This window comes from Homo sapiens, chromosome 14 (genome assembly GCF_000001405.40).
Source record: "Homo sapiens chromosome 14, GRCh38.p14 Primary Assembly".
NCBI lineage: Eukaryota > Metazoa > Chordata > Mammalia > Primates > Hominidae > Homo > Homo sapiens.
In genome coordinates, this window is record NC_000014.9 from 73,099,579 (window position 1) to 73,126,195 (window position 26,617).

Here is a 26,617-nt window from a genome sequence, read left to right on the forward strand (position 1 = left end):
AGACCTATACAGAATATCTAACCTTTAACTGTTTATATTGAAGTAGGGTGTTCTTTATTCATTCCCTCCTGTGCCCGTTTTCTTTTAGGAGGATATAAATGCTATAGAAATGGAAGAAGACAAAAGAGACCTGATATCTCGAGAGATCAGCAAATTCAGAGACACACATAAGGTAGTATTCTTGTCTTTTCACTTGATACCAATCTAGACTTTTTACAGAATCCAAAGCAAAGAGACAAAAAAAATCAACCTTAAATTAGAATATAATTTTAAATGTTTTTTATAGGTTTAATTGATATTTAGATAGAAAAAAGAAACAGAAGACCAATACCATATTAAAGTGGTCCTTGACATGTTGTGCTTAGTTTTTTCAGTTACTGACTATTCTGCAGTCATCTCACTTTAATATGAATAGAAGCTAATTTTATTTTTAGATTTCAACATAAACATCAAGGTCAGACTTAAATTAGATTCAGGGGGCAGCAGGATAACATACACTGTAGTGTATTTCTGGGGGCAGTTATTTAACTTGATCTTAGGAATACCTTTTCTTTAGAGCTGAGATTAAAATTTACATTTTATATTTGTATAGATTTAAGTTGAGTGGGGGAGATTTTAAACAGTAGGTCAGTGGTTACCAGACTTACCAAATTTTAGATGCATGGAAGAACTGTAAATTCCCATAAAGCTAATCTATTCATTGACCCCCACCATTATGATAGAGATCATATGGTGACTAATGCAAGATGAAACTCTCAGCTTGGAAAGTAACAAGGAATAGGATGTAAGTATGAGCTTCTGTTTTTTATTATATTTATGGATGCCCCCTCAGAAAAATATGCAAAGGGGTAACTGGCTTGGAAATGGGTATTTATGCATAGTAAATCCCACTCACGAGTTTTGCCTATTTGAAGCTTCTCTCAATGACAGTGCATCTGTGAATGTTCGCTGGTGTTGAAAATGATGCTTTTGAACGGTGCAATGCAAACACTGCATGAAATGTATTTTGATGGTCGAGATAATAAGGTGTTGCTGGTTCTTACTGATAGACTGAGAGATCTTTAACTCAGTGAAATGTTAAATGTTCATTTTCTCTTTTATTCTTACTTTTTCCCATTGCTTTCAAAATCTGCAGTTCACAAATAATGCCAATGAATCAGTGCTGCTGAACACTTACTATCCAGATGCCCAGCCCTTGCTCACAAACACAATGCTTTTTCAAGAATTAAATGTGTCTAAGAGCACAAACATAATTCTCCCAAAATTAATTTTGAGAGTTGAAAAGGTGGTCTATGGGAAATCATTTTAGATGAATAATTTTGGTTAGGTATAATACTGAAATTCAGGACCGAGTAAGCTTAAAAATGGTATATGGTTGTGTGTGTGGTTTACCCCCTTTTTGTTTTTATTTATTTGTTAAACCCTGTCATGTTATTGGTAAATTATGAGGAAATCATGTTTTAAGAAAAATTCAAAAATATATTTGCTTTAAAGTTTGGGAATCTGTTAGGCATTTTACTGCCTTAGTATTATTTCACTGGAGGGAATGTTTTGAATTTTCAGAATGTCTTTTCAAAATAAAAAGAAATCAAAATGAAAAACCAAAACAGTTGTTTTTTATTGGGTGGTTTGGCTAAAAGGGTTGTTTGAAACTCCAGTAACAAAAAATGAGCTCAGTGAACCTTTGCATGTTTTGGTATGAGTTTATTAAATAACCACAGACTGTCAGGGTATCAGCGTGGCAGGGGGCGTCCATTTACAGCACGGATGAGTCTGAAGAGAGAATAAGGTAAGATTTATGATTTTTTAATCTGTCCTTTCCTCTTCATGACTTTCTTACATAATTTTAGACTCACCTCATTTCCCTTCTCCAGTCTTTCTTTAAAAATATACATGTATGTTTACATGTATACCTGTATTTGTATACATGTGTGTATATATATATATATATATATCTCATATATAAACTTCAGGAAACATTTAGTATGGACTAGATTCACTCACTTTTTCATTTACTTAGAACCAAACTTTTGAAATGAGTTCTGAAACAAATGGTTATTTATATAACTGAATATAAGGAGCACAGTGAAATAAGCAAGAATTAAAAATTGAGGAATTCTACAGGAAAAATTAGTATTGGAACAGCTAAAATATTCTGTAAGTATCTATTTCAGAAATAAACAAATTTCTTTATAAGTGTATGCCATTGAGGTAAGTTTTATATAGTCTAGCCTCATTTTACAATATAAATTTTTATATTCATTGGAACTGTTTCAGAAATGAGATTTTTCCCCCTTTAATAGCTGTTAGTTTCTGTCCTCTTTCTATCATATCTTATTTCATCCCTTTGTAATTTCAATGTATTCAGTTTTGACTTTGCCCGTATTCTACTTCGATATAGACTGGCACAGCAACTGAATATATTGCTCATACATTAGCTTTCCTTTCATAACCTGCTATAAGTTCTCTGATCCATGAGGAAGAGAAAAAGAGTATCTGACAGGTAAGATTGCTTTTTAAAGTTGTTTTAAATGCATTACATGACTGAGAAAAGAAAAATGCACATTTTATTGTTGCAGTTTAAAATTTCATTTTGGTGAAACTAAACGTGAAACAAAAGGGATAAATGTGTTTTGTTTTGTTTTGTTTTACCTGTTTGGGGTATTTTTTTCTGAGTTTGTGTAGAAACCGTGTGGTACACTGGTAATCTTGTCAGGGTACAAACTTGGTCTGACTTTGTTATTTGGTTTATTTGTGAACCATGTACTTGCTCTTCCTCCCAGAAACATAGCTTGTAGGCAAGGTTAATCCAGTGTTGGCGATCCATGTCCTAGCACAGCATCTGTAAGTTAATGCACAATCGTTCCTTCCAAGGATGGATTTATCATTGTAAATATATTTTCATTGTCTTACAGGCATAATGGGCATAAGTATGTTGCTTTTAAATATTTTAAATTAAACTATTACAGTTACATATATTTTGCTTGAAGTGAGTGATTTTCAAACTTTTTGTATTTGGTGGGCTGTCCATCTTGTAATGGTGGGAGTAAATGTTTCCATAGATGATAAGGCAGTTCTTGGCTGAATTCAGCTTGTGTTTCTTTTGGAGGGTGGGCAAATCAGAGGGCAGAGATTATTTAGTTGCATTATAGGTATTCTTCTATACCACTTGCCCTTTGAAACCCTCAACTTGAGGTAATGTGCAGTCTGGGGTTTTAATTAGTATTAATAATCTTGTGGATTTACAGAAATCTATAATGCACAGAGTTGAGTTTTAACCAATGATCGTATTCATAGAAAATATTTCGAACCACCACATTCTTCATGGTCATTTTAGTTAGTACATAGTCATTGAGTGGCCAGCCACACCTGACACAATCTCCCAGCATCCAAGATTGGAGATTCCTGGTCTGTGTAGAGTATATGGTTTTGCACGAAATCTTTCTAGTCTTGTGATTGCTTCAGTTTAATTTGTCACATAAAACCACAAGTATTTAATATTAATGTATCAGTGGTTTGGTGTTTTTGTTCCCAGTACTGGGCTTTGCGCCGGGAAAAATCTGAATACTGGAGCTACAGAGTTAACTCTAAAAGTGCTTTTATTGGTTTCTAGAAACTGGAAGAAGAGAAAGGCAAAAAGGAAAAAGAAAGACAGGAAATTGAGAAAGAACGGAGAGAAAGAGAGAGGGAGCGTGAAAGGGAACGAGAAAGGCGAGAACGGGAACGAGAAAGGGAAAGAGAACGTGAACGAGAAAAGGAGAAAGAACGGGAGCGGGAACGAGAACGGGATAGGGACCGTGACCGGACAAAAGAGAGAGACCGAGATCGGGATCGAGAGAGAGATCGTGACCGGGATAGAGAAAGGAGCTCAGATCGTAATAAGGATCGCAGTCGATCAAGGTAAGGCTTTACAGAAGTTACTGTTTCCTGATAGCTTTAAGAAAACTATCGGGTAGTCCTCCAGAGTACCATTTGCATTCATGGAATGAGAACTTTTGTGTGTGTGTGAGACATTCTCACTCTGTCACTCAGCCTGGACTGCAGTGGCTGAGCAATCTCCGCCTCCTGGGTTCAAGTGATTCTCATTCCTCAGCCTCCCAAGTAGCTGGGATTACAGGTTCATACCACCATGCCCAGCTAATTTTTTGTATTTTTGGTAGAGATGGGGTTTTGCCATGTTAATCAGCCTGGTTTTGAACTCCTGGCCTCAAGTGATCCGCCTGCCTCAGCCTCCCTAAGTGCTGGGATTATAAGCGTGAGTCACTGTGCCCAGCCTGAGAATTTTTTTAGAGACAACATGGTCTTTGTCTGTCTGTCTGTCTGTCTGTCTCTCTCTCTCTCTCTCTCTCTCTCTCTCTCTCTCTCTCTCTCACACACACACACACACACACACACACACACACACACACACACACACTCTCTCTCTCTCTCTCTCTCTCACTATGGGTAAAAGTAATAATTTTCAACTCTGGTTAATTTCTGTCTGAAGCCACTTTTTATAGAAACACAGTGGCCACTCAATGTTCTGGGCAGACATGACTCCCTGCTGTCTCCTTGGGTCCGTGGGCATTTTTAAAGTTGCTCTTTTTGTTGAAGTTCTGTATACTGAGACATCAGCTCTAGCACCACGTCTTTTTAGCCCCTAGCATTTTTATTTGTTTTTGTAGCCCACTGCACTGCCATAGCTTAATCTTTCTGTCTATAAATTTACTATCTACCTCTACCTCTGGCTCCTAGTAATTTTACTCTTTGGAAGGTTTTATTTTTTATTTAAAATTTTTTAATTATATTGATTTTTTTTTTTTTCTGAGACAAGTTTTTGCTCTGTTGCCCAAGTTGGAGTGCAGTGGTACAGTGTTGGCTCATTGCAACCTTTGCCTCCCAGGCTTAAGCAATTCTGCTTCAGCCTCCCGAGTAACTGGGACTACAGGCACACACCACTGTCCCGGACTAATTTTTGTATTTTTTTTGTAGAGTCTAGGTTTTGCTATGTTGCCCAGCTGGTCTCGAACTCCTGAGCTCAGGTAATCTGCCTGCCTCAGCCTCCCAAAGTGCTGGGATTACAGGCGTGAGCCACCATGCCCGGCCTTATATTGAATTATTTTGATGAGTCATCTCACTGTTGAATAATGAGGTATAGCAAACATGAACAAAGGAAGAGGAGAAAGCAGCAAGGAAGAGAGAAAAAGCTCCTTTTTCTTCAGGCTAGTTTAAAAATATACATTACTGTGTTGCAGTTTCTTACTTGATTATGGCTGGAGGGAGTTCCACTTTAGGTCATTTCACCTAGTTGCTAGAACTGGAAACCCAGAGCTCTCAACCTTCAGTAGGCATTAAAATTATTTCATTCTGTCCATTCCTGATACAGTCATTGAGAGGTTGGTATGTGTAAAATCCATCTCTTATATTTATGGCATAAGTGTATCCATAAAGAACATATTTCATATATACATATTAAATACACACACACACACACACACACACACAGAGTTATTTGATTAGATCCTTGGTATCATGCTGTATGTAATCTGCAGTTTGGTTTTATTACTTTTTTTTTTTTTTTTTTGGAGACGGGCTGGAGTGCAGTGATACAGTCATAGGTCACTGTAAGCTCCAAGTCCTGGGCTCATGGGATCTTCCCACATCAGCCTCTGGAGTAGGCAGGACTACAGGCACGTGCCACCATGCCTCCTGGCCTCAAGCAGGCCTCCTACCTCGGCTTCTTAAAATGTTGGGATTAGATTTTATCACTCTTAATTAAATATTTGAGAACTTTCAGTGCTGATACTTATAAAAGTTCTAACTTAATCCATGCAACATGTCAGAATTCTGTTTTCCACATGTGCCAGCACTTACTCCTTGATCTCTAGTAAGCTAAACTATCTCTTAACATATTCATTAGTCCTTCATATTTCTTTTGGGAATTAAGTTTTCCTTTTTTCTGTTTTACACCATCAGGGGATTGACTATTATTTCAGTATATGATGGGCATTAACTAACCATTCATTTTAATGATTTATAACTATTTTATATTCAGATTGTATTTGTTTTCTGACATACCAGTAAGCATTAGGTATTAGAATGCATTTTAGGATTTGGGACTGCAATTTATGTCTTTCTGATGAGTGTAGAGGAGGTTACATAGTTTTATGGAAATCAAGTGCTAGATTCTGGCCTGTGAGATTTTATATTATTTCATAATGTATGTTGTCCTCCTTTACTTTGGTCTTGAAAACAGAAAGTAGACTGACAGATTTGTAAAATATTTTGTTTACATTAGAGAAAAAAGCAGAGATCGTGAAAGGGAACGAGAGCGGGAAAGAGAGAGAGAGAGAGAACGAGAGCGAGAACGAGAACGGGAGCGAGAGAGAGAGCGAGAGAGGGAACGGGAGCGAGAAAGAGAAAAAGACAAAAAACGGGACCGAGAAGAAGATGAAGAAGATGCATACGAACGAAGAAAACTTGAAAGAAAACTCCGAGAGAAAGAAGCTGCTTATCAAGAGGTAAGTTGAGAAAATGCCTTTATTCTTAAATCTTGGTATCCCTTAATAGGTTAATCAATATTTATAGAATGCTATGTATAAATTTTTAAAGCTTTGAAAATTTAATTTTTTTAGCGCCTTAAGAATTGGGAAATCAGAGAACGAAAGAAAACCCGGGAATATGAGAAAGAAGCTGAAAGAGAAGAAGAAAGAAGAAGAGAAATGGTAAGATTCTAGGCTAAAATAAGTGATTTTTCAGGTAAAAAGTCAGATTGTATCTTTACTGCTAACTACAAGTAACTTAATAATTGAAATGCACAAGCTTCTCTATTCATGTATAATTTAATTTTTATGTATTTTGAGTAATTTTGAGCCAATTTAAGTACACCAAAATCTTTTTTCCTCTTCAAATTTTTGCTGCATCTAAAGTTATCTTTTTGTATACCATCAAAGTAAATTTGTCATATAGTAATATTTAAGTCAAGAATTTATTAACTTATTTTTAAGAATCTGCATATTTTTAAAATTGTTGAACTGTTGTTATTAGATATAATAGTTGCATTTGAAATTCCGTAAGTTAAGAGATTCATTTTATCTCATGGATTGTTTACTATTGGTTTAGAGTTGGGGGGCATTACCTTTAAATTGATTGATGAACATGATTTAAATTTCTGCGTTTCTTAAAAACTATTTCTTATAGTATCATCTACCTTAAAAATGGAATTAAAAACCATATACATATACACATATACATACATGTATACATATATATGTATATACTTTTTTTTTTTTTTTGTGGAGACGGAGTGTTGCTCTGCCACCCAGGCTGGGGTGTGATCTCGGCTCACTGCAACCTTCTCCTCCCAGGTTCAAGCGATAAGCGATTCTCCTGCCTCAGCCTCCCGAGTAGCTGGGATTACAGGCGTGTGCCACAACACCCAGCTAATATTTTGTATTTTTAGTAGAGACGGAGTTTCACCATGTTGGCCAGGATGGTCTCAAACTCCTGTCCTCAAATGATCTGCCTGCCTTGGCCTCCCAAAGTGCTGGGATTACAGGCGTGTGCCACCACGCCCAGCCATATTTTTTCGTTTAATAAGATAATCTCCAGTTTTGTTGGTGTGCTTAGGTATTGTATTTTGAAGATTATATTCAAAGAGCATATTTATTGTAGCGTAGCGTATATATATAGTTTGCATTTTACAGATGCGTCCTCATTCAGACTTTTCTTAGAGGTAAAAAATTTAAAATGTCTAATGTGACCTATACTTAATATATGGAGTATATGAAAACTAAAATTTAAGAGGACAAGAAAAATCTTTTTTTTAACCAAAGTATTATTATATTTATTATGGCATAGAGTGGTATTTTATACATATCTCATTTTACAGTAAAAACATTTTATGTACAACTGTAGAGAGATAGCTGCACAGATAGCTCCAACTTAAATTAGAAAATATTTTCTCTATAGAAAATAATAAAAACACCGTTTCCCAGGCTAGCCCAACAAGTTTATTTAAACCAAATAGCTGAATACATATACATTTATAAATATGGTTTGAATTCTGGGATCCAGGAGAAACTTTAGTTTCATTTATTGAAACGGCCATGTTTGTCTTAAAATTATGTGAAGAGAAATTCCTATAAGTCTCCCTCTTACTCTTGGTTTATGTCTGGGTCAGAAAAATCTGTTTACACAAAAAAGGGAAGAGTAATCTTTATTACTTGTATGTTAATTTTATACATTGTCCTTATTTCCTCAAAGGCCAAAGAAGCTAAACGACTAAAAGAATTCTTAGAAGACTATGATGATGATAGAGATGACCCCAAATATTACAGGTAAAGAAGGCTTGTTCTGTGGATTCATACTTGGTTTTTTATTAGCTGTGTTTTTCCATCTGCACAGTTGATAATGCATGTTCACTAAGTGGAATAAGAAAAACAAACTTTCACATTCTGAGTAATTATTAATTCTATAGCTAATACACTGTTTTCGTTGGGAGAAAAGAGCTATCAGAAAAGGATAAACATTTCTATGCATCTTTTGTGCAGTGGGGGAGCCCATGATAGTATTATATCAAACAATACTATTTTTTTCTTTGTGTGTTGTAAATAGGTCTGATTTTTAAAATTTTTTCTTGATTCTTTTAGAGACAGGGTCTTACCTCGGCTGGAATGCAGGGGCATGATCATAGTTCACTGTAACCTTGAACTCTTGGGCTCAAGCAGTCCTCCCTCTGCAGTCTCTTGAGTAGGTTGGACTATAGGTGTGGGCTACCACACCTGTGTGCTAGGTCCAATTTTTATAGCAAGTTACAACGAATCTCTGTAACTATCTGGGTTTTTCTAGAAATTTTGGTCTTCTAGCAATTTGACCTCCCGTCTCTCACCCCATCTCCAAATTGATACATTATTGTGAAGTAACAGTTGTGACAACTGCCTTCTCTCATTCTTTGTTCCCATGGCATTTTCAAACTACTCTCATTCTAGTATTTGTGACATTATGCCAAAATTGCTTGTTTTGTTCTTCCTTCCATCCAAACTGTAAGTTCCCTGGGGATGTAGACAGTGTCTTGATACTATTTTATCTCTAATTTGTCTGACATGATACAATCATAGTGAAGATATTTAATATAGTTAAATTTAATACAGTATAGCCAAAATAATTAAAACATTGGAATTAGTAGCTTAAATCTCAAGGGTGCCAGGGATTTGGCTTTGTAGAAAGTGCCATGAAATCAGTAAAATATTGAAGGCTAGAAGCATAAAGTGGCAATGTATAACGTCAACATTCTGAGAAGTAATGAACTGCTAGATAGGAGAGAACCTCTGCTTTCTGTTGATTCTACACTACTTTCTGAGATAATTTTTACAAGTGAATAAATTGAGGATACAGAACTCTCAGTGCTACTAATGCTACTTGATATATTTTTTTAGGTTGGTATCTAGGAAAACGAAAATTATTTGTTGGGTATTCCTTGTGAAATAGGCACAAAGTGTGAGCTCTCTTTCTGAAAGTGACTATTTTACTTGTTTAGACACTTATTAGAATGACTTTAAGAATGAAGGGAACATAGTGATAAATGACAAGATAATGCTTGTTATACATTTACATGTAGAGAGCACACTCTGGTGTGTTCCGTAGATACAGAACATTAAGACATTCTTTAACCTCTTAGCATGCAGGTTGTAATGTTGAAAAGAGGTGCTGTTGGAGATGTCATGTTTACTTCTCAATGATCGGAGTATTAAATGAAGCCTTTTATCATTCACTTTTACAGAGGAAGTGCTCTTCAGAAAAGGTTGCGTGATAGAGAAAAGGAAATGGAAGCAGATGAACGAGATAGGAAGAGAGAGAAGGAGGAGCTTGAGGAAATCAGGCAGCGCCTTCTGGCAGAAGGGCATCCAGATCCAGATGCAGAGCTCCAGAGGGTAAGATACTGTACCATCTGGTCGGGCGCGGTGGCTCACGCCTGTAATCCCAGCTCTTTGGGAGGCCGAGGCGGGCGGATCACGAGGTCGGGAGATCGAGATCATCCTGGCTAACACGGTGAAACCCCGTCTCTATTAAAAATACAAAAGATTAGCCGGGTGTAGTGGTGGGCGCCTGTAGTCCCAGCTACTCGGGAGGCCGAGGCAGGAGAATGGCGTGAACCCGGGAGGCGGAGCTTGCAGTGAGCCGAGATCGCGCCACTGCACTCCAGCCTGGGCGACAGAGCCCCTGACTCCTGGGTTCAAGCGATTCTCCTGCCTCAGGTACCCGAGTAGTAGTACGGATTACAGGTGTGTGCCACCTCGCCTGGCTAATTTTTGTATTTTTATTTTTATTTATTTATTTTTTTGAGATGGGGTCTCGCTGTGTCGCCCAGGCTGGAGTGCAGTGGTGTCATCTTGGCTCACTGCAGCCTCCACTTCCCAGGCTCCAGGGATTCTCGTGCCTCAGCCTCCTGAGTAGCTGGGGTTACAGGCACGTGCCACCACTCCTGACTAATTTTTGTATTTTTAGTGGCGACGGGGTTTTACCATGTTGGCCAGGCTAGTATTAAACTCCTGACCTCAAGTGATCCGCCCATCTTGGCATCCCAAAGTCCTGGGATTACAGGAGTGAACCACCGTGCCCGGCCTTTTTTTTTTTTCCCTGAGACAGAGTCTGGCTTTGTTGCCCAGGCTGGAGTGCAGTAGCGGAATCTCTGTTCACTGCACCCTCTGCCTCCTGGGCAAGTGGTCCTCAGGCCTCTACCTCGTGAGTATCTGGGACACTTACAGGCATGAGCAGAATGCCTGACTGAATACTTTATGCTTTTTTGTAGAGATGGGGTTTTCCTGTGTTACCCAGGATTGAGCCACTGCCCATGTCCTTTTTTTTTTCTTTTTCTTTTTCTTTTTTTTTGAGATGGAGTCTTGCTTTGTTGCCCAGGCTGTAGTGCGATTCTGCAAGGCTCACTGCAACCTCCACCTCCCAGGTTCAAGCGATTCTCCTGCCTCAGCCTCCTGAGTAGCTGGGATTACAGGCGTGCACCACCACACCTGGCTAATTTTTGTATTTTCAGTAAAGACAGCGTTTCACCATGTTGGCCAAGCTGGTCTCAAACTCCTGACCTCAGATGATCTGCCCACCGCGGCCTCCCAAAGTGCTGGGATTACAGGCATGAGCCACCATACCTGGCCTTTTCTCTTTTCATAAAGATATTTTACAAGAGGTAATGTAAAACAAAAATCAAGTTGAATGGTGTAGAGTTGTAGTTAATCAGATTATTGTTTGGGTTTTAGATGGAACAAGAGGCTGAGAGGCGCAGGCAGCCACAAATAAAGCAAGAGCCAGAATCAGAAGAGGAGGAAGAAGAAAAGCAAGAAAAAGAAGAAAAACGAGAAGAACCCATGGAAGAGGAAGAGGAGCCAGAGCAAAAGCCTTGTCTGAAACCTACTCTGAGGCCCATCAGCTCTGCTCCATCTGTTTCCTCTGCCAGTGGCAATGCAACACCTAACACTCCTGGGGATGAGTCTCCCTGTGGTATTATTATTCCTCATGAAAACTCACCAGATCAACAGCAACCTGAGGAGCATAGGCCAAAAATAGGACTAAGTCTTAAACTGGGTACGTTAGCATTTCCTTCCTTCTTTATTTTCTTCCCTTCACCCCTGCAAATACCTGTATTGTGCTTTAAAGAAAAAAATTTATATTTGTGCTTGGTTAGGTAGATAGAAGATTACTAAAAAATGCCTTTCTAGCTCACGATTGTTTTCATAGTTTTACTAGTGCTCCTATATCTGCAGCTGCCTCGAGTTCTGAGAAGAAGTGAAAAGTTTAATTTTCTAGCACTTGTGAGTAGTGAGTTATTTTTTACAGTTGGGATCTTTCTCTAAGATTTGTGGAAGTATATTTTGCATTGCTTTTGAGGGATGGTGGGTTATAAAATGAAACATTTGGAAATTAAGTCATCTTGCTAAGAGAGTGTTTTTACTGTAGGTGCTTCCAATAGTCCTGGTCAGCCTAATTCTGTGAAGAGAAAGAAACTACCTGTAGATAGTGTCTTTAACAAATTTGAGGATGAAGACAGTGATGACGTACCCCGAAAAAGGAAACTGGTTCCCTTGGATTATGGTGAAGATGATAAAAATGCAACCAAAGGCACTGTAAACACTGAAGAAAAGCGTAAACACATTAAGAGTCTCATTGAGAAAATCCCTACAGCCAAACCTGAGCTCTTCGCTTATCCCCTGGATTGGTCTATTGTGGATTCTGTGAGTAGGAAATTATATTTCATCATATTATTGGGAACAGTTGGAATATGCCATACAAATTCATTTGAAGAAAAAAAAACCTCATTTGATTCTATTAATGACAAATAAGTAGGGATGATCATCTTGACACCAACTCAATGCCATGGTCAAGAAATTAGTAATAATGGAAATTTTTTTTGTGCTACTTGAAGACTTACTAAAAGCAGATGATTGTATCTTGATACATATCTGTCTTAGTTCAACTTGTGAAATAACATTATATTTTAGTCTCAGGAAAAATCATGAAGCTTTAATAACTGTTATAGCAAGTTACAATTCTTTAATTCAGTAACCGTGGTTTGTTTTGCAGATACTGATGGAACGTCGAATTAGACCATGGATTAATAAGAAAATCATAGAATATATAGGTGAAGAAGAAGCTACATTAGTTGATTTTGTTTGTTCTAAGGTTAGTCTTCTATTCTCTTCCATGCCAGCATTTATTTTATATATTAAAATATTAGACACTTCTTAAAAGAGCAGAAATTTTACAGAGTCAAGTTCCATGATGGTTTAGGTTCAGTTAAGTGATTTATATCTGCTTTTTTAAAGTTATTTTTATTTTTGGTGTGTTTTTTTTTATTCACTGCAGTGGATGCAGATTTATGTCTGCTTTAATGAACCTTTCCATCCAACTTCAGACTCCTCACACCACATGTTTTTATTTCAGTGGTCGAGGAGGATGGAATTGCTGGTTACTGCCAATTGTGTGCTGTCTTTCTGCCCCTGAGAATGCTGTGCCATCTTCTTCTTGTCTTGGTTGGAATAATTATGTTGAGATTTTTTGGACGTAGCCAATATCTTTTCCCAACTCCTTTGTCAGTCACCCATCCTTTGGATAGGATCAAAATAGTTCCTTTCATATCGTAGTAACGATCAGTGTTTATTGACTGACAGGCTGTGTTCTCGGCAGGTATTGTGTTAGTTTTGTTTGTTTTGTTTTGTTTTGTTTTTTGTTTTTTGTTTTTGTTTTTTCTTTTGAGTCGGAGTTTTGCTTTGTCCTACAGGCTGGAGTGCAGTGGCGCAATCATGGCTCACTGCAGCTTTGAACGCCCAGCCTAGACTGATCTTCCTGCCTTAGTATCCTGAGAAGCCGGAACTATAGGCATATGCCACCACACCCTGCTAATTTTTTTTTTCTTTTTTTGTTTTAAATTATACTTTAAATTCTAGGATACATATGCATAACGTGCAGGTTTGTTACATAGGAGTACATGTGCCATGGTGGTTTGCTACACCCATCAACCTGTCATCTACATTAGGTATTTCTCCTAATGCTCTCCCTCCCCTAGCTCCCCACCCGCCGACAGGCCCAGCTGTGTGATGTTCCCCTCCCTGTGTCCATGTGTTCTCATTGTTCAGCTACCACTTATGAGTGAGAACATGTGGTGTTTGGTTTACACCAGGCTAATTTTTTGTATTTTTAGTGGAGATGGGGTTTCACCATGTTGGCCAGGCTGGTCTTGAACTCCTGACCTCAAGTGATCTGCCCAAGTTGGCCTCCCAAAGTGCGGGGATTACAAGGCGTGAGCCATCACACCAGCCGAAGATAAAGTTCTATAAAATGTTAACAAGACAGTGGCCCACGCCTTGTAATTCCCGCACTTTGGGAGGCCAATGGGGCAGAACACTTGTGGTCACGAGTTTGAGACCAGCCCGGCCAATATGGTAAAACCCCGCCTCTACTAAAAAGTCAAAAATTGGGTGCGCTGGGTGGCAGGCACCTGTAATCCCAGCTACTCGGGAGGCTGAGGCAGGAGAATCACTTGAACCCGGGAGGCGGAGGTTGAAGTGAGCTGTGATTGCGCCATTGCACTCCAAGCCTGTGTGACAAGAGTGAGACTCTGTCTCAAAATAAAAAAAAAGAAAAAAGAAAAACTTCTTTTAACCTAACACTTAGAATCTGTCTGTCATGAATGTTATACCCATTTTATACATGAAGAAATTGAAGTTTAAGGAGAGATTGTGTCTTGGCTATGTTTTATACTGAGTCTAGCCTCTGAAACCCATGCTCTTAACCACTAAGGTATATCTTCCCATTGTCTCCTGAAAACATAGTCTTAACTTTAATAAAACAGTTAACATAGTAGAAACACCATATTTCTATAAAGGTATAGCTATGGTATTTTTTTGCCAGTAGTGCTCTTTTGATATTATGAACAGTAAATTTACTCTGTCTTCTCTAACTTGTAATTATTGTGGCATTAAAACTTGTGTGAGATTTGACTTAAAATTAGACTACAGACCACTATGGAGATTAATATTCCAGGTTTTGGTGCCTCTTTCGTTGAAGAATGATATTCTGAAAATTAAAACATTTATAGAATGGTTCCTTAGCCGCAAGAAGTTCCTGTATGAATTTGAGGATTCATACCTTAAAATTTCTTGACTGTATTGTTAATTTTTTATTTATTTTTAATGTGACAATTATTTTTCTCTTTTAGGTTATGGCTCATAGTTCACCCCAGAGCATTTTAGATGATGTTGCCATGGTAAGTTAGAAATTCACTATTTTTATTTCTTTTAATTTAAAAAAAGTTTTTGGTTTTTTTTGTCTTAAAATATAGATGGGGTCTCACCACGTTGCCCAGGGTAGTCTTAAATTCCTAGGCTTAAGTGATCCTCCTGCCTCAGCCTCCCAAAGTGTTGAGATTACAGGCATCAGCCACCACACCTGGCCAGAAATGCACTATTATTAATATTTTAATTAACATCTATATAAACTCACTTTTGAATTTGATTCACTTCCTGCCTGTCTTTGTTCCAGAATCTTTTTTAGGCCTGAATTAAAACTTGAGTAATCCCAGTACTTGGGAGGCTGAGGCGGGTGGATCACAAGGTCAAGAGATCGAGACCATCCTGGCCAGCATGGTGAAACCCCGTCTCTATGAAAAATACAAAAATTAGCTGTGCGTGGTGGCGTGTGCCTATAGTCCCAGCTACTCGGGGAGTCTGAGGCAGGAGAATCACTTGAACCTGTGAGGTGGAGGTTGCAGTGAGCCGAGATCATGCCATTGCACTCCAGCCTGGTGACAGAGTGAGACCCCATCTCTAAATAAATAAATAAGGCTTCATTCTTTTCCACCAGTTCCATTCATGTTTTCCCTATGCCCAGCACAATGTGCTAGAAGCATAAAAGTAGAACAAATGACCTGTAGTAGCAGAGAGATAGGTATACAGGTACTGGAACCTTGATGTACTTGTTTGAATTAGATATGTAGAAAGGATAATGGAGGTAGAGGAGATAGAACATCTGATGGCATTGATAGCAGTTAGGTTAAGCATCACAAGGATTACTACAGGAACTGATACGTGTGTGTGTGTGTGTGTGTGTGTGTGTGTGTGTGTTTTAAGTCGGATACATGTGCAGGTTTGTTACATAGGTAAACTTGTGTCATGGGGGTTTGTTGAACAGATTATTTCATCACCCAGGTGTTAAGCCTAGTACTCATTAGTTATTTTTCCTGATCCTCTCCCTCCTCCCACCCTCTGCCCTACGATAGGCCCCATTGTGTGTTGTTCCCCTCTCTTCGTTCATGTTTTTTCATCATTTAGCTCCCGCTTATAAGTGAAAACATACTGTATTTGGTTTTCTGTTCCTGTGTTAGTTTGCTAAGGATAGTGGCCTCCAGCTCCATCCATGTCCCTGTAAAGGACACTATTTCGTTTTTTATGGCCACAAGATTGTACATATGTGCTGCTTTTTGGACAGGTATCCAAACACCTGTTGTATTGACAGTAAACATCAAATCCCCGTTGCATTTAATTTGGGATTACAGTCAGTGGTAGCATGTAGTTAACACTGTGATTTTGTGAGACAAGGAAAGGAGAAGAAAATTGATGGTAAAGGTTGAGCAAGAGATTGAACTATGATCTCCAAGTTAGGAAGAGAAGAAAATAGTATCTGAATAGAGCTGGTGGTTTGAATGAATTAAGGACTAGTGGTTCCAGTGAAGTTGTGGAAGGCGAATTGTAATAAAACAACTGAAAGGAGAGGTTATGGTCAGAGTGTAGAAAGTTCAAGTCTATATGTGATAGGTCAGCCCAGACGATGGCAAGGTGCATAGTATGACTATGGGAAATTCCTGGGTATTGGGAGTCAGATTGGAGAGAAATACTGGAAATAGTTGCCAGAGCACTCATTTAAGTGGGGGGAAAGACTAGATACTTGCCAGATAGCTGCTCTTACAGTGGATAAGGTGGTGAGAGCTCATGAACGTCCATGGAGTTGTTTTTTTTTTTACCAAGAAAGAAACAGTGAAGACCCACAAGTCATTCCTGTGGAGATTAAGACATTGAGAGTGAGAGACTGCCTGAGAAGTGCCGGGGCTCTAGGAGATAGAGGAGGGTTTCTGTTAAGAGGAAAAACCTAATTTAGTTGTTGATGTGTAGTATAAAATGGAATAGCGGTCCAAAGGGCAGAGCGGGAAGACAGCAATGGGAAGATGAGTAAGGAAGGAAAAATCATCAAGCATGATATGAAATGGTAGATGACTGGGAGTACTTGCACTTGGAACTGCCACCAGAGATGTCAGGGAGGGACATCGTGGGGTTTATAGTCAAAAAGAAGGATTGTGAGGTCTAGCTGCTTTGTGTCCAGGCATTTTATGGTGTCTAAAGCCAGATAACATTCCTTTTCTGCTGCCTAGCTAGCTTGATGCAGCTGTCATTTAGAACACCTGATAAAACATTTGTGAAAACTTCATTGCCTCAGAGGAAAGGAGAAATGTGAATAGATTTCAGTCCTTGGGGCTGAATTCTGAACTTTCCTGAAGCTTCCAGCCCCGTTTTTCTTGGAGTAGAGGGTGTCGTAGTTAGGCCTGAGTGAAGACATTTTTTAAATAAAACTGTGTTCTAGCGTTTGGCCTCAGCAGAGTTCCTATCATACATAGTAAAGATTTCATGTCAGTGTTAATTTTAGATTTTTTGATCTGTTGTAATATATTGATATTTGAAGTGTATTTAGACCACTGTTTATGATTTTGTGGCTCGTTGATTAGAATGAGAGGAAACCAGTTGAGCTAGTGTTGTCAAACAGCTCTGCTAAAAAGCTCATGGGGCCTTGTAAATATTTCTTGAATAAATGAGGAGACTGAATTTTTAGCCTGAGTACTGTTTCACTCTTAACAAAAGTCTGACTTCTTTATATTATACCTTTTTCATTTTATGTAAATTAAATGAAGTTTGGTTGCATTTTGTGCCTACATCTCTCTGAAGTGTGACTCAGATGTGAATTAGTGTTACAACAGAGTTCTTCAACTAAAGTCAAATCTGGCTCATAGAAATCTGATCAAAAGTTCTTTAATTAATTATTGCTATCATTGAGAAAGTGACAGAAATTTCTTTCTTTTAATTTCTTTCTTCTTTTCTTTTTTTTTTTTTTTTTTTTTTTTTTTTTTTTTTGAGACAGAGTCTTGCTCTGTTTCCCAGGCTATATGGAGTGACAGTGGCGCGATCTTGGCTCACTGTAACCTCCACTTCTTGGGTTCAAGCAATTCTCCTGCTTCAGCCTCCCAAGTAGTTGGGATTACAGGTGCCCACCCGCACGCCTGGCTAATTTTTGTATTTTTAGTATTGACGGGTTTCACCATGTTGGCCCGGCTGGTCTCAAACTCCTGACCTCAGGTGATCTGCCTACCTAGGCCTCCCAAAGTGCTGGGATTACAGGCGTGAGCCACTGTGCCCAGTCTCTTCCCAGGTATTTATTAAGCACTTGTTATATACCAGTCAGTTGTCAGAGCACTTAACTACATACCAACTCTTTTAATTCCCACTTAGTACCTACTGCTATGGTGTGTAGCTACATCGCCTCCACTTTAGAGGTGAGGGAACTGAGGCTCAGGTTAAGTAACCCAACCAAGGACCTATCGCTAGTAAGAGGCAGCAGTGCAATTTGAACCTATGTAGCCTGACTAGAGAATTTGAACCAATGTAGTCTGACTAGAGATTGAGTACTCTAAATTCCTACCCCAAACTTCCTCTATGAAGACCTGGCAACACTAGACCACATTTCTGGAGCACAGTCATAGCTGCCCCCTTCAGAAGGGAGCAGAGTAGGCCATTTCACCTCATAGCAGCCATAATGTAGAGGGGCAGATGTGTGTATGGGATGATGGCAGGAATAGTGATGGGGACACAAGGACCCTATAACTCATAAGTAGAGAGGAAGACAATTTCCTCATCCACCACTGGAAGAAGACTTGTTACTCAGTAGTCATGTGTGCCCCGTGATGATTGTATTTGCTTATTGTGTTTACTGTATTCTGGACACTGTACTAAATACTTATATTCTCATTTAATGTTCACTTTAGTGTCACATACACAATAAATGCTAGTTAAGATGGTACGGTTGGGCTGTGCACAGCAGCTCAAACCTGTAATCCCAGCACTTTGGAAGGCCAAGGTGCGCAGATTGCTTGAGCCCAGGAGTTTGAGACCAGCCTGGGCAACATAGTGAGACCCTGTCTCTACTAAAAAGCACAAAAATGTAGCCAGGAGTAGTGGTGCACACCTGTAGTCCTAGCTACTGGTGAGGCTGATGTGGGAGTATCACTTGAGCCTGGGAGGTCAAGGCTGTAGTGCACCATGATCATGCCACTGTACTCCAGGCTGGGTGACAAGAGAGATCCTGTCTCCAGAAAAAAAAAAAAAAAGTTTGTGAGGTTGTGTTTTTGGAGATAAATGAAATTCTGTATTGTTATTATGTAATTGTATATTATTTAGTTCTTCTTAAATTACTGTGTTCTTTATGAAAAGCGTATGGTTTCCTTGGGAAGTAGTTTTGTCAGACATGTATAATTGCAGTATCTGTAAAGGTAAAATAAAAGAATAAAAGGTGGATCACAAAAATATGGTACTCTTTGTGTTTAGTAAGCCATGGAATTTTGAATGATTTTTTTTTGTTGTCGTTGTTAATTTACATTTACTATTTATTTATTTATTTAGAGACGGAGTTTTGCTCTTGTTGACCAGGCTGGAGTGCAGTGGCATGATCTTGGCTCACTGCAACCTCCGCCTCCCAGGTTCAAGCGATTCTCCTACCTCAGCCTCCCGAGTAGCTGGGATTACAGGTGCCGGCCACCATGCCCAGCTAATTTTTGTATTTTTAGTAGAGATGGGGTTTCGTCATGTTGGCCAGGCTGGTCTTGAACTCTTGACCTCTGGTGATCCACCTGCCTCAGCCTCCCAAAGTGCTGGGATTATAGGTGTGAGCCACTGTGCCCGGTCCATTTACTATTTATTAATAATACATTTCTCACACTGGACAAATTTTCTTTAAGTCATTTTACTGAAAGCAAAACTACTTCCTAAGGAAAACAAATACGTATTATAAAGAACGTAGTAATTTAAGAAGAACTAAATATACAACTATGTAATAACAATACAGAATCTCATGTATCCCCTCAAAACAACCTTAAAACTTTTTTGTTTTTTTTGTTTTTCTTTTTTGAGATGGAGTCTTGCTCTGTTGCTCAGGCTGGAGTGCAGTGGCGCGATCTTGGCAAGCTCCGCCTCCTGGGTTCACGTCATTCTCCTGCCTCAGCCTCCCCAGCAGCTGGGAATACAGGCGCACGCTGCCATGCCCAGCTAGTTTTTTGTATTTTTAGTAGAGATGGGGTTTCACCATGTTAGTCAGGATGGTCTTGATCTCCTGACCTTGTGATCCGCTCGCTTCGGCCTCCCAAAATGCTGGGATTACAGGCGTGAGCCACCACACCCGGCCACTAAAACAACCTTAAAATCTTAACTAGCATTTAAGTAATAAGTGCTTATTGTCAGTGGATGAAAAACTTTTTTATACTGGCCACTGTTTTTGGCAGATGTTGATGATTGCTTCTCTTACATGTGTTGCTGTTTTGTTTCCTCTTTAGGTACTTGATGAAGAAGCAGAAGTTTTTATAGTCAAAATGTGGAGATTATTGATATATGAAACAGAAGCCAAGAAAATTGGTCTTGTGAAGTAAAACTTTTTATATTTAGAGTTCCATTTCAGATTTCTTCTTTGCCACCCTTTTAAGGACTTTGAATTTTTCTTTGTCTTTGAAGACATTGTGAGATCTGTAATTTTTTTTTTTTGTAGAAAATGTGAATTTTTTGGTCCTCTAATTTGTTGTTGCCCTGTGTACTCCCTTGGTTGTAAAGTCATCTGAATCCTTGGTTCTCTTTATACTCACCAGGTACAAATTACTGGTATGTTTTATAAGCCGCAGCTACTGTACACAGCCTATCTGATATAATCTTGTTCTGCTGATTTGTTTCTTGTAAATATTAAAACGACTCCCCAATTATTTTGCAGAATTGCACTTAATATTGAAATGTACTGTATAGGAACCAACATGAACAATTTTAATTGAAAACACCAGTCATAAACTATTACCACCCCCACTCTCTTTTGATCAGAAATGGCAAGCCCTTGTGAAGGCATGGAGTTTAAAATTGGAATGCAAAAATTAGCAGACAATCCATTCCTACTGTATTTCTGTATGAATGTGTTTGTGAATGTATGTGTAAAAGTCTTTCTTTTCCCTAATTTGCTTTGGTGGGGTCCTTAAAACATTTCCCAACTAAAGAATAGAATTGTAAAGGAAAAGTGGTACTGTTCCAACCTGAAATGTCTGTTATAATTAGGTTATTAGTTTCCCAGAGCATGGTGTTCTCGTGTCGTGAGCAATGTGGTTTGCTAACTGGATGGGGTTTTCTTATTAATAAGATGGCTGCTTCAGCTTCTCTTTTAAAGGAATGTGGATCATAGTGATTTTTCCTTTTAATTTTATTGCTCAGAAATGAGGCATATCCTAAAAATCCTGGAGAGCTGTATTTAATGCATTTTTGCACTAATTGGTCCTTAGTTTAATTCTATTGTATCTGTTTATTTAACAAAAAATTCATCATACCAAAAAGTGTAAGTGAAAACCCCCTTTAAAACAAAACAAAAAAATGAAATAAAATTAGGCAAATTGACAGACAGTGAGAGTTTTACAAACATGATAGGTATTCTGCTCGGCAATTTGTAAGTTTACATGTTATTTAAGGATAAAGGTAAATCATTCAAGGCAGTTACCAACCACTAACTATTTGTTTTCATTTTTGTCTTGTAGAAGGTTTATATCTTGTTTTACCTTGGCTCATTAGTGTTTAAAAATGTACTGATGATGTGCTTAGAGAAATTCCTGGGGCTTTCTTCGTTGTAGATCAGAATTTCACCAGGGAGTAAAATTACCTGAAAACGTAAGAAGTTTTAAACAGCTTTTCACACAAATTAGATGCAACTGTTCCCATGTCTGAGTACTTATTTAAAAGAAAGGTAAAGATTGGCCTGTTAGAAAAAGCATAATGTGAGCTTTGGATTACTGGATTTTTTTTTTTTTTAAACACACCTGGAGAGGACATTTGAAAACACTGTTCTTACCCTCGAACCCTGATGTGGTTCCATTATGTAAATATTTCAAATATTAAAAATGTATATATTTGATCCTGGGGACTCATATTCTTTCAGAATCATGTAAATAAATGGCATCATGTTGTAATTGTGTGGTGCATACTAGAAAAGTTAAAAATATGGGCTGAACTTTTTATGGACTTGATTTTTATGACTATTGGTATCTAAAGGTCAAGGAAGCCATTTACATTATTTTGGATGAATCTACTATACATCTATGGAAATGTCTCTTTTATTTTAAATTCTGGTTTCTCAACGGAAAATTTCAGAAAAGATGCCCCTTGCCATTTTCGTTAATTTTTCAGTCTTTTCTTAGACACACCCCCAGCCTAAGACCTTGTTCGAGGAGTTTATTGTGTCTGTCTTTTCTTAACATACTGCACTGTTCTTAAGCATCATATTGTGTTGTTTTTATTTAGCCACTATTAACATGAAGGTTTATTCAGGTAGATTTGATTTCCTTTGCTTCGTTTCTTCTCCTGCTCTGTCAACTGTACTTATCTTAAAGGGCCACTCTAAAAACAAGGGAGATGTCGTAATCTGAAACCTTTGGGGAGATGTACTCTGTACTGCATAACATCTCCAGTGAGGTTTGTGACAGGACCTCAACTAAATATATGAATTTGTGCAAGTTCATATATTAAAGTTTCTGCAGCAGAGTGAAAATTGTTACAGTAAATGTGGTAGAAACTGTTAATCGCTTAATGCCAGTTTAAATCATGTTTTGTAACCAAGCTTCAGTAAAAGGCTTTAGATTGTCAGAGTTGGTTGATTTTTAGAATTGTATATATAAAGAATTAGACATTAAACAGGCATATTCTAGTGTCTGAAAATACACATAAGAAATTTCTATTAAGTTGCTTGAACTTTGTGGGTTAATTTTACCATAATCTCATAAATTAATTTTAGTTTGAAAACCTTATACAGTATGAATTCATTTTGCCATTTCAAGTTGTTATATAAAGAGCATGAAAGTCTTTTTTTGTTGTTTTTTTGGGGTTTTTTTTTTTTTGAGAGGAAGTTGTGCTTTTGTCGCCCAGGATGGAGTGCAATGGCGCGAGCTCAGCTCACTTCAACTTCCGCCTCCCGGGTTCTGGAGATATTCTGCTTCAGTTTTCTGAGTAGCTGGGATTACAGGTGCCCACCACGACACCTGGCTAATTTTTTGTATTTTTAGTAGAGACAGGATTTCACCTTGTTGGCCAGGCTGGTCTCAAACTCCTGACCTCAGGTGATCCACCCGCCTCAGCCTCCCAAAGTGCTGGTATTACAGGCGTGAGCCACCTTGCCTGGCCAAAGCGTGAACATCTTAAGAACCAGTCTTGATCTGGCAAAAAAGTAGTAGAATACTACTTTTCTTTATTTGTCCCTAAAAATAAAGTATGTACATCTGTTCACAAGGAAGAAAGGTAAGTTTGAAGTTGTTTTTCTTAAACTTTAATGTGACCCCAAATCATCTGAGGAGTGCTTGTAGAAATAGAGACACTGAAGTAGCAGCGCTGGGGTGGCGCCGCAGGCTTTGCATTTCTGGACAGCTCCCAGCTAATGTCATTGCCAACTGATCCAAGACTACATTTTGATTAGCACTTTAAGGTGTCTATTCAGTATTATTTTATCCTAACAGACTACATAAATGCAGCTGAATTTTCCTTTAAGTAGATTTTAAAGAGAAAAACATTTTTTGAGGCAAATACACGTAACTCATGAACGTAATGTAATCTTGCAAAATTATGTCTGAGAAAGCCCTAATATTCTAGGCTTTTTTTCCATCCAGCCCTGAAAATTTTTTCTGTAGATAACTTTATGTTGTAACTTATTCTGAATCTTATTATGGCATTTCCCTGTAAACTATGTAAGTGTAAGCTAATGATTATTTTGTGAAGCGTGCTGTTTCAGGTATTAATCTGCCATGAATACTAGATATAGTAGAAAAACTGAGAAAACATTTAGCTTGAGAGCCAATTTGAACTAGACACTATCTTTTTTTCTCCTTTTTAATGGAATAAATTTAATGCAAATAAGTGTAAGCAGGTATACAATGTTTAGATGAGGCTTATTTTCCCAACTCTTTTTAACAGGTTTTATGATATCCCCAATTTATACCCAAAAGACTGCTGAGAGGTTTTATGTCAAATTGATTACAAACTTCTCTGGGTTGTATTTCAGTCTTCTGTTAAGTATGAAATTGAGAAATAGTTTTGCTCAACAAAAGATGATGAGGGATTGATTTGTGAATGTCACTGGAGATAAAAGGGTATGAGAAGGAATCCCAAGCAGGCAAAGAAACAGTCTAGCTGTCAAGAAGAAAACAGGGAGATACATACCAAACCCAGGAGCTACTAATATAACAATCATACTATAGAGCGAAGTGAACTTACACTTTTTGATAAACTGATAGATTTTTTGTAATGTGATTATGGTAAAATACTGAAATATTTATGTTAATTTATTTGCATTTGAATGCTTACATTTTTAATTGACAGAATCTTTGCATTTCATTACTTGAGTCATGAAGGCGAAATTAAAGAATGGCAGTCTAAAATACCCAGGTAAAGAAGATAATTTCTAGAAACAAAAATAAAAATTCTTTTCAAGCCATGTTGTTTGAATTAAATGACACTCCTGAGTCTGTCTACTTTTTTTTTTTTTTTTGAGACAGCATCTTGAACCCAGGAGGTGGAGGTTGCAGAGAGCCGAGATTGCGCCACTGCACTCCAGCGTGAGCAACAAGAGCAAAACTCCATCTCAAAAAAATACATGTATTTCTGTTAGCTGATCATCTAATGGTGGCAAAAAAAATTACACGAGTTCAGGAACATCATTAGACATAAATACAAAATACTATGTGAATTATCAAATGTGATAAGCTGAGAGGAAATGGGAAATAGGAAGATTCTCAGTAGAAGTAGTAATATGTGGAAGGGGCTTTAGAGGTCACCTAGTCTGTTTTGCCCATTGTAATTATGTCAGTAGTCCCTGCAGGTGGTTTATCTAGAGGAGTATATATGGGGTTCTAATTCATGGTCTAGCATTGCACTATTAAATAACCACTAATGACAAGTAGTTTTACATGCATTCACGTGAAATCTTTCTGTTTGTTTGTTTGAGATAGGGTCTGCCTCTGTCACCCACGCTGGAGTGCAGTGGCAAGATCTTGGCTCACTGCAACTTCTGCCTCCTGGGCTCAAGTGATCCTCCCACCTCAGCCTCCCAAGTACTTGGGACCACAGGTGCACACCAACACACCCAGCTAATTTTTGTAGAGGAAGGGTTTCACCATGTTTCCCTGGTGGGCTTTGAACACCTGAGCTCAAACGATGCCTTGACCTCTCAAAGTGCTGGGATTACAAGTGTCAGCCACTGCACCTGGCCGACATTTTTTATTTGTTTAGAGACAAGGATTCCCTGTAAAGCTGCAGGGGCACAATCGTGGCTCTCACTGCAGCCTCGAATTCCTGGGCTCAGTGATCCTCTTGTCCCAGCCACCTGAGTAGCTAGGACTACAGGTGCACCCCACCATGCCTCCTATTTTTTGTGTTTGTGTGGAGATGAAGTGTGTTGTCTAGGCTGGTCTCAAGTGATCCTTCAGCCTCAGCCTCCTAAACTGCTGAGATTACAGGCATAAGCTTTTTTGATAAAGGAAAAACTAGTGAGCATTTCACATTGTAGAATCCAAAAACATGAAAGTTAATCTTTTCCTGTCAATTTACAGTTTTGTAAATGTACCCAGGTGAAGAGACTGGTCTGTTACTGTAGATAGAAAAGTACCAAAACAAAGTTTTACTTTGTTCAGTATACTGTCGAGGCAACTTTCTAAATGAGAGGGTCCAGGTTCTTGGTTAAAGAAGGAACTTAGAATTAACAAAATAGTGACAAACATTTGCGGCAGCGCGCCTCAGGGCACCAGCTGCAGGGGTCTGCCCACAGACCCTGACCCTGCGACAGATGAATAAAGTACACTGACACACAGATAGTCTGTTTTGCCAGTCCAGCTGAGGGTGTCCCACTGCTTACAGACTCCCTGGAGAGTTCTGAAAACAGTTGCAACTAGGCCTCAGTCAGCTAGTGAGACTTGCATTTATTCAAAAAGATTAAGGATGGCTTGAGTCAACACCATTAGAGGGTAATTGATATTGTGGACTTCCCAAGTAAAAAGCACTTAACCCCCCGTGGTACATCCAAGATTAGTCTTAAGATCATATGACTAAACAAACTAGGTAAACTACTCTGCCTTCCTTTATTACTACTTTAATTTGTTTAAAAGTAAAGATCAGGTTGCCTTCAACCATATCTATCACCGAAGCTATGCAAACTTCTCGGCCTTCCAAGAATTGTATCTGTCTCTGTAACAATCTTTAATGTTTTTCCCACCAGCCTGATTGAATCCCAACACATATTCAGAACTTAAGGCTAGAACAAGATGAGGAAGATATGACAGCCCGTGATTTTAAGCAATCTAAGGAAACCCATGCTTGCAAAGAATTCAAATGACGTGAGAGCTACTAAGATAAAATGTGGCCATGCACCAAGCCTTGACGGCAATATTTAATCTCATAACAATTCTTCTTTCCTCCTATATAAGAAGCATGGCAGCGACACTGTGCATAAATTAAGGCAAACTGTTGTTATGTGAAAATGTTAATGAGGTAGATTCCTTTGGAATCATTAGTGTGAAGAGCTGGTTTTTGTTTTCCCATTGCCTAGGCCCTGACTTTAGTAGTGACTGATGCAGCTTTTCTAGTCTAACAACCCTCTCCCCCAAGTAATTCTTTGATGCCCTGCCCTTCAGCTTCATCTTTTACCACTTACTATTGGGTTTTGCCACCATTTATTTTATCATTCACTTATCTGTTCCTCTTCCTAAGTTACAAACGTTTCTGAAGCAAAAGAAAATGTATCACTGTAGAGAGTCTAG

General features: G+C 38.4%; 1 protein-coding gene across 3 annotated transcripts in view, besides 1 other annotated feature; it reads left to right on the forward strand.

Moving 5' to 3' along the window:
• Positions 1-24,321, forward strand: part of RBM25 (RNA binding motif protein 25) — a 65,366-nt gene extending 41,045 nt beyond the window's left edge. For 2 of the 3 annotated variants that reach the window (XM_011537044.4, NM_021239.3), the window contains 11 exons: positions 89-172; positions 3,614-3,900; positions 6,281-6,503; positions 6,618-6,707; positions 8,248-8,321; positions 9,764-9,914; positions 11,253-11,577; positions 11,950-12,224; positions 12,574-12,672; positions 14,708-14,755; positions 20,135-24,321. In XM_011537044.4, coding sequence (XP_011535346.1) covers positions 89-172; positions 3,614-3,900; positions 6,281-6,503; positions 6,618-6,707; positions 8,248-8,321; positions 9,764-9,914; positions 11,253-11,577; positions 11,950-12,224; positions 12,574-12,672; positions 14,708-14,755; positions 20,135-20,227 — 1,749 coding nt within the window. In that variant the 3' untranslated portion in view covers positions 20,228-24,321. Of the gene's footprint in view, positions 1-88; positions 173-3,613; positions 3,901-6,280; positions 6,504-6,617; positions 6,708-8,247; positions 8,322-9,763; positions 9,915-11,252; positions 11,578-11,730; positions 12,225-12,573; positions 12,673-14,707; positions 14,756-20,134 lie in introns of those variants that run through there. The other variant, XM_047431641.1, reaches the window with a different exon arrangement.
• Positions 25,575-26,114: an enhancer, noted in NCBI's record as "OCT4-NANOG-H3K27ac hESC enhancer chr14:73591861-73592400 (GRCh37/hg19 assembly coordinates)". NCBI's record gives its function as "activates a minimal SCP1, AML or CMV promoter by ChIP-STARR-seq in primed H9 embryonic stem cells {active_cell/tissue: H9 hESC(primed)}" and the evidence as "EXISTENCE:reporter gene assay evidence [ECO:0000049][PMID:30033119]".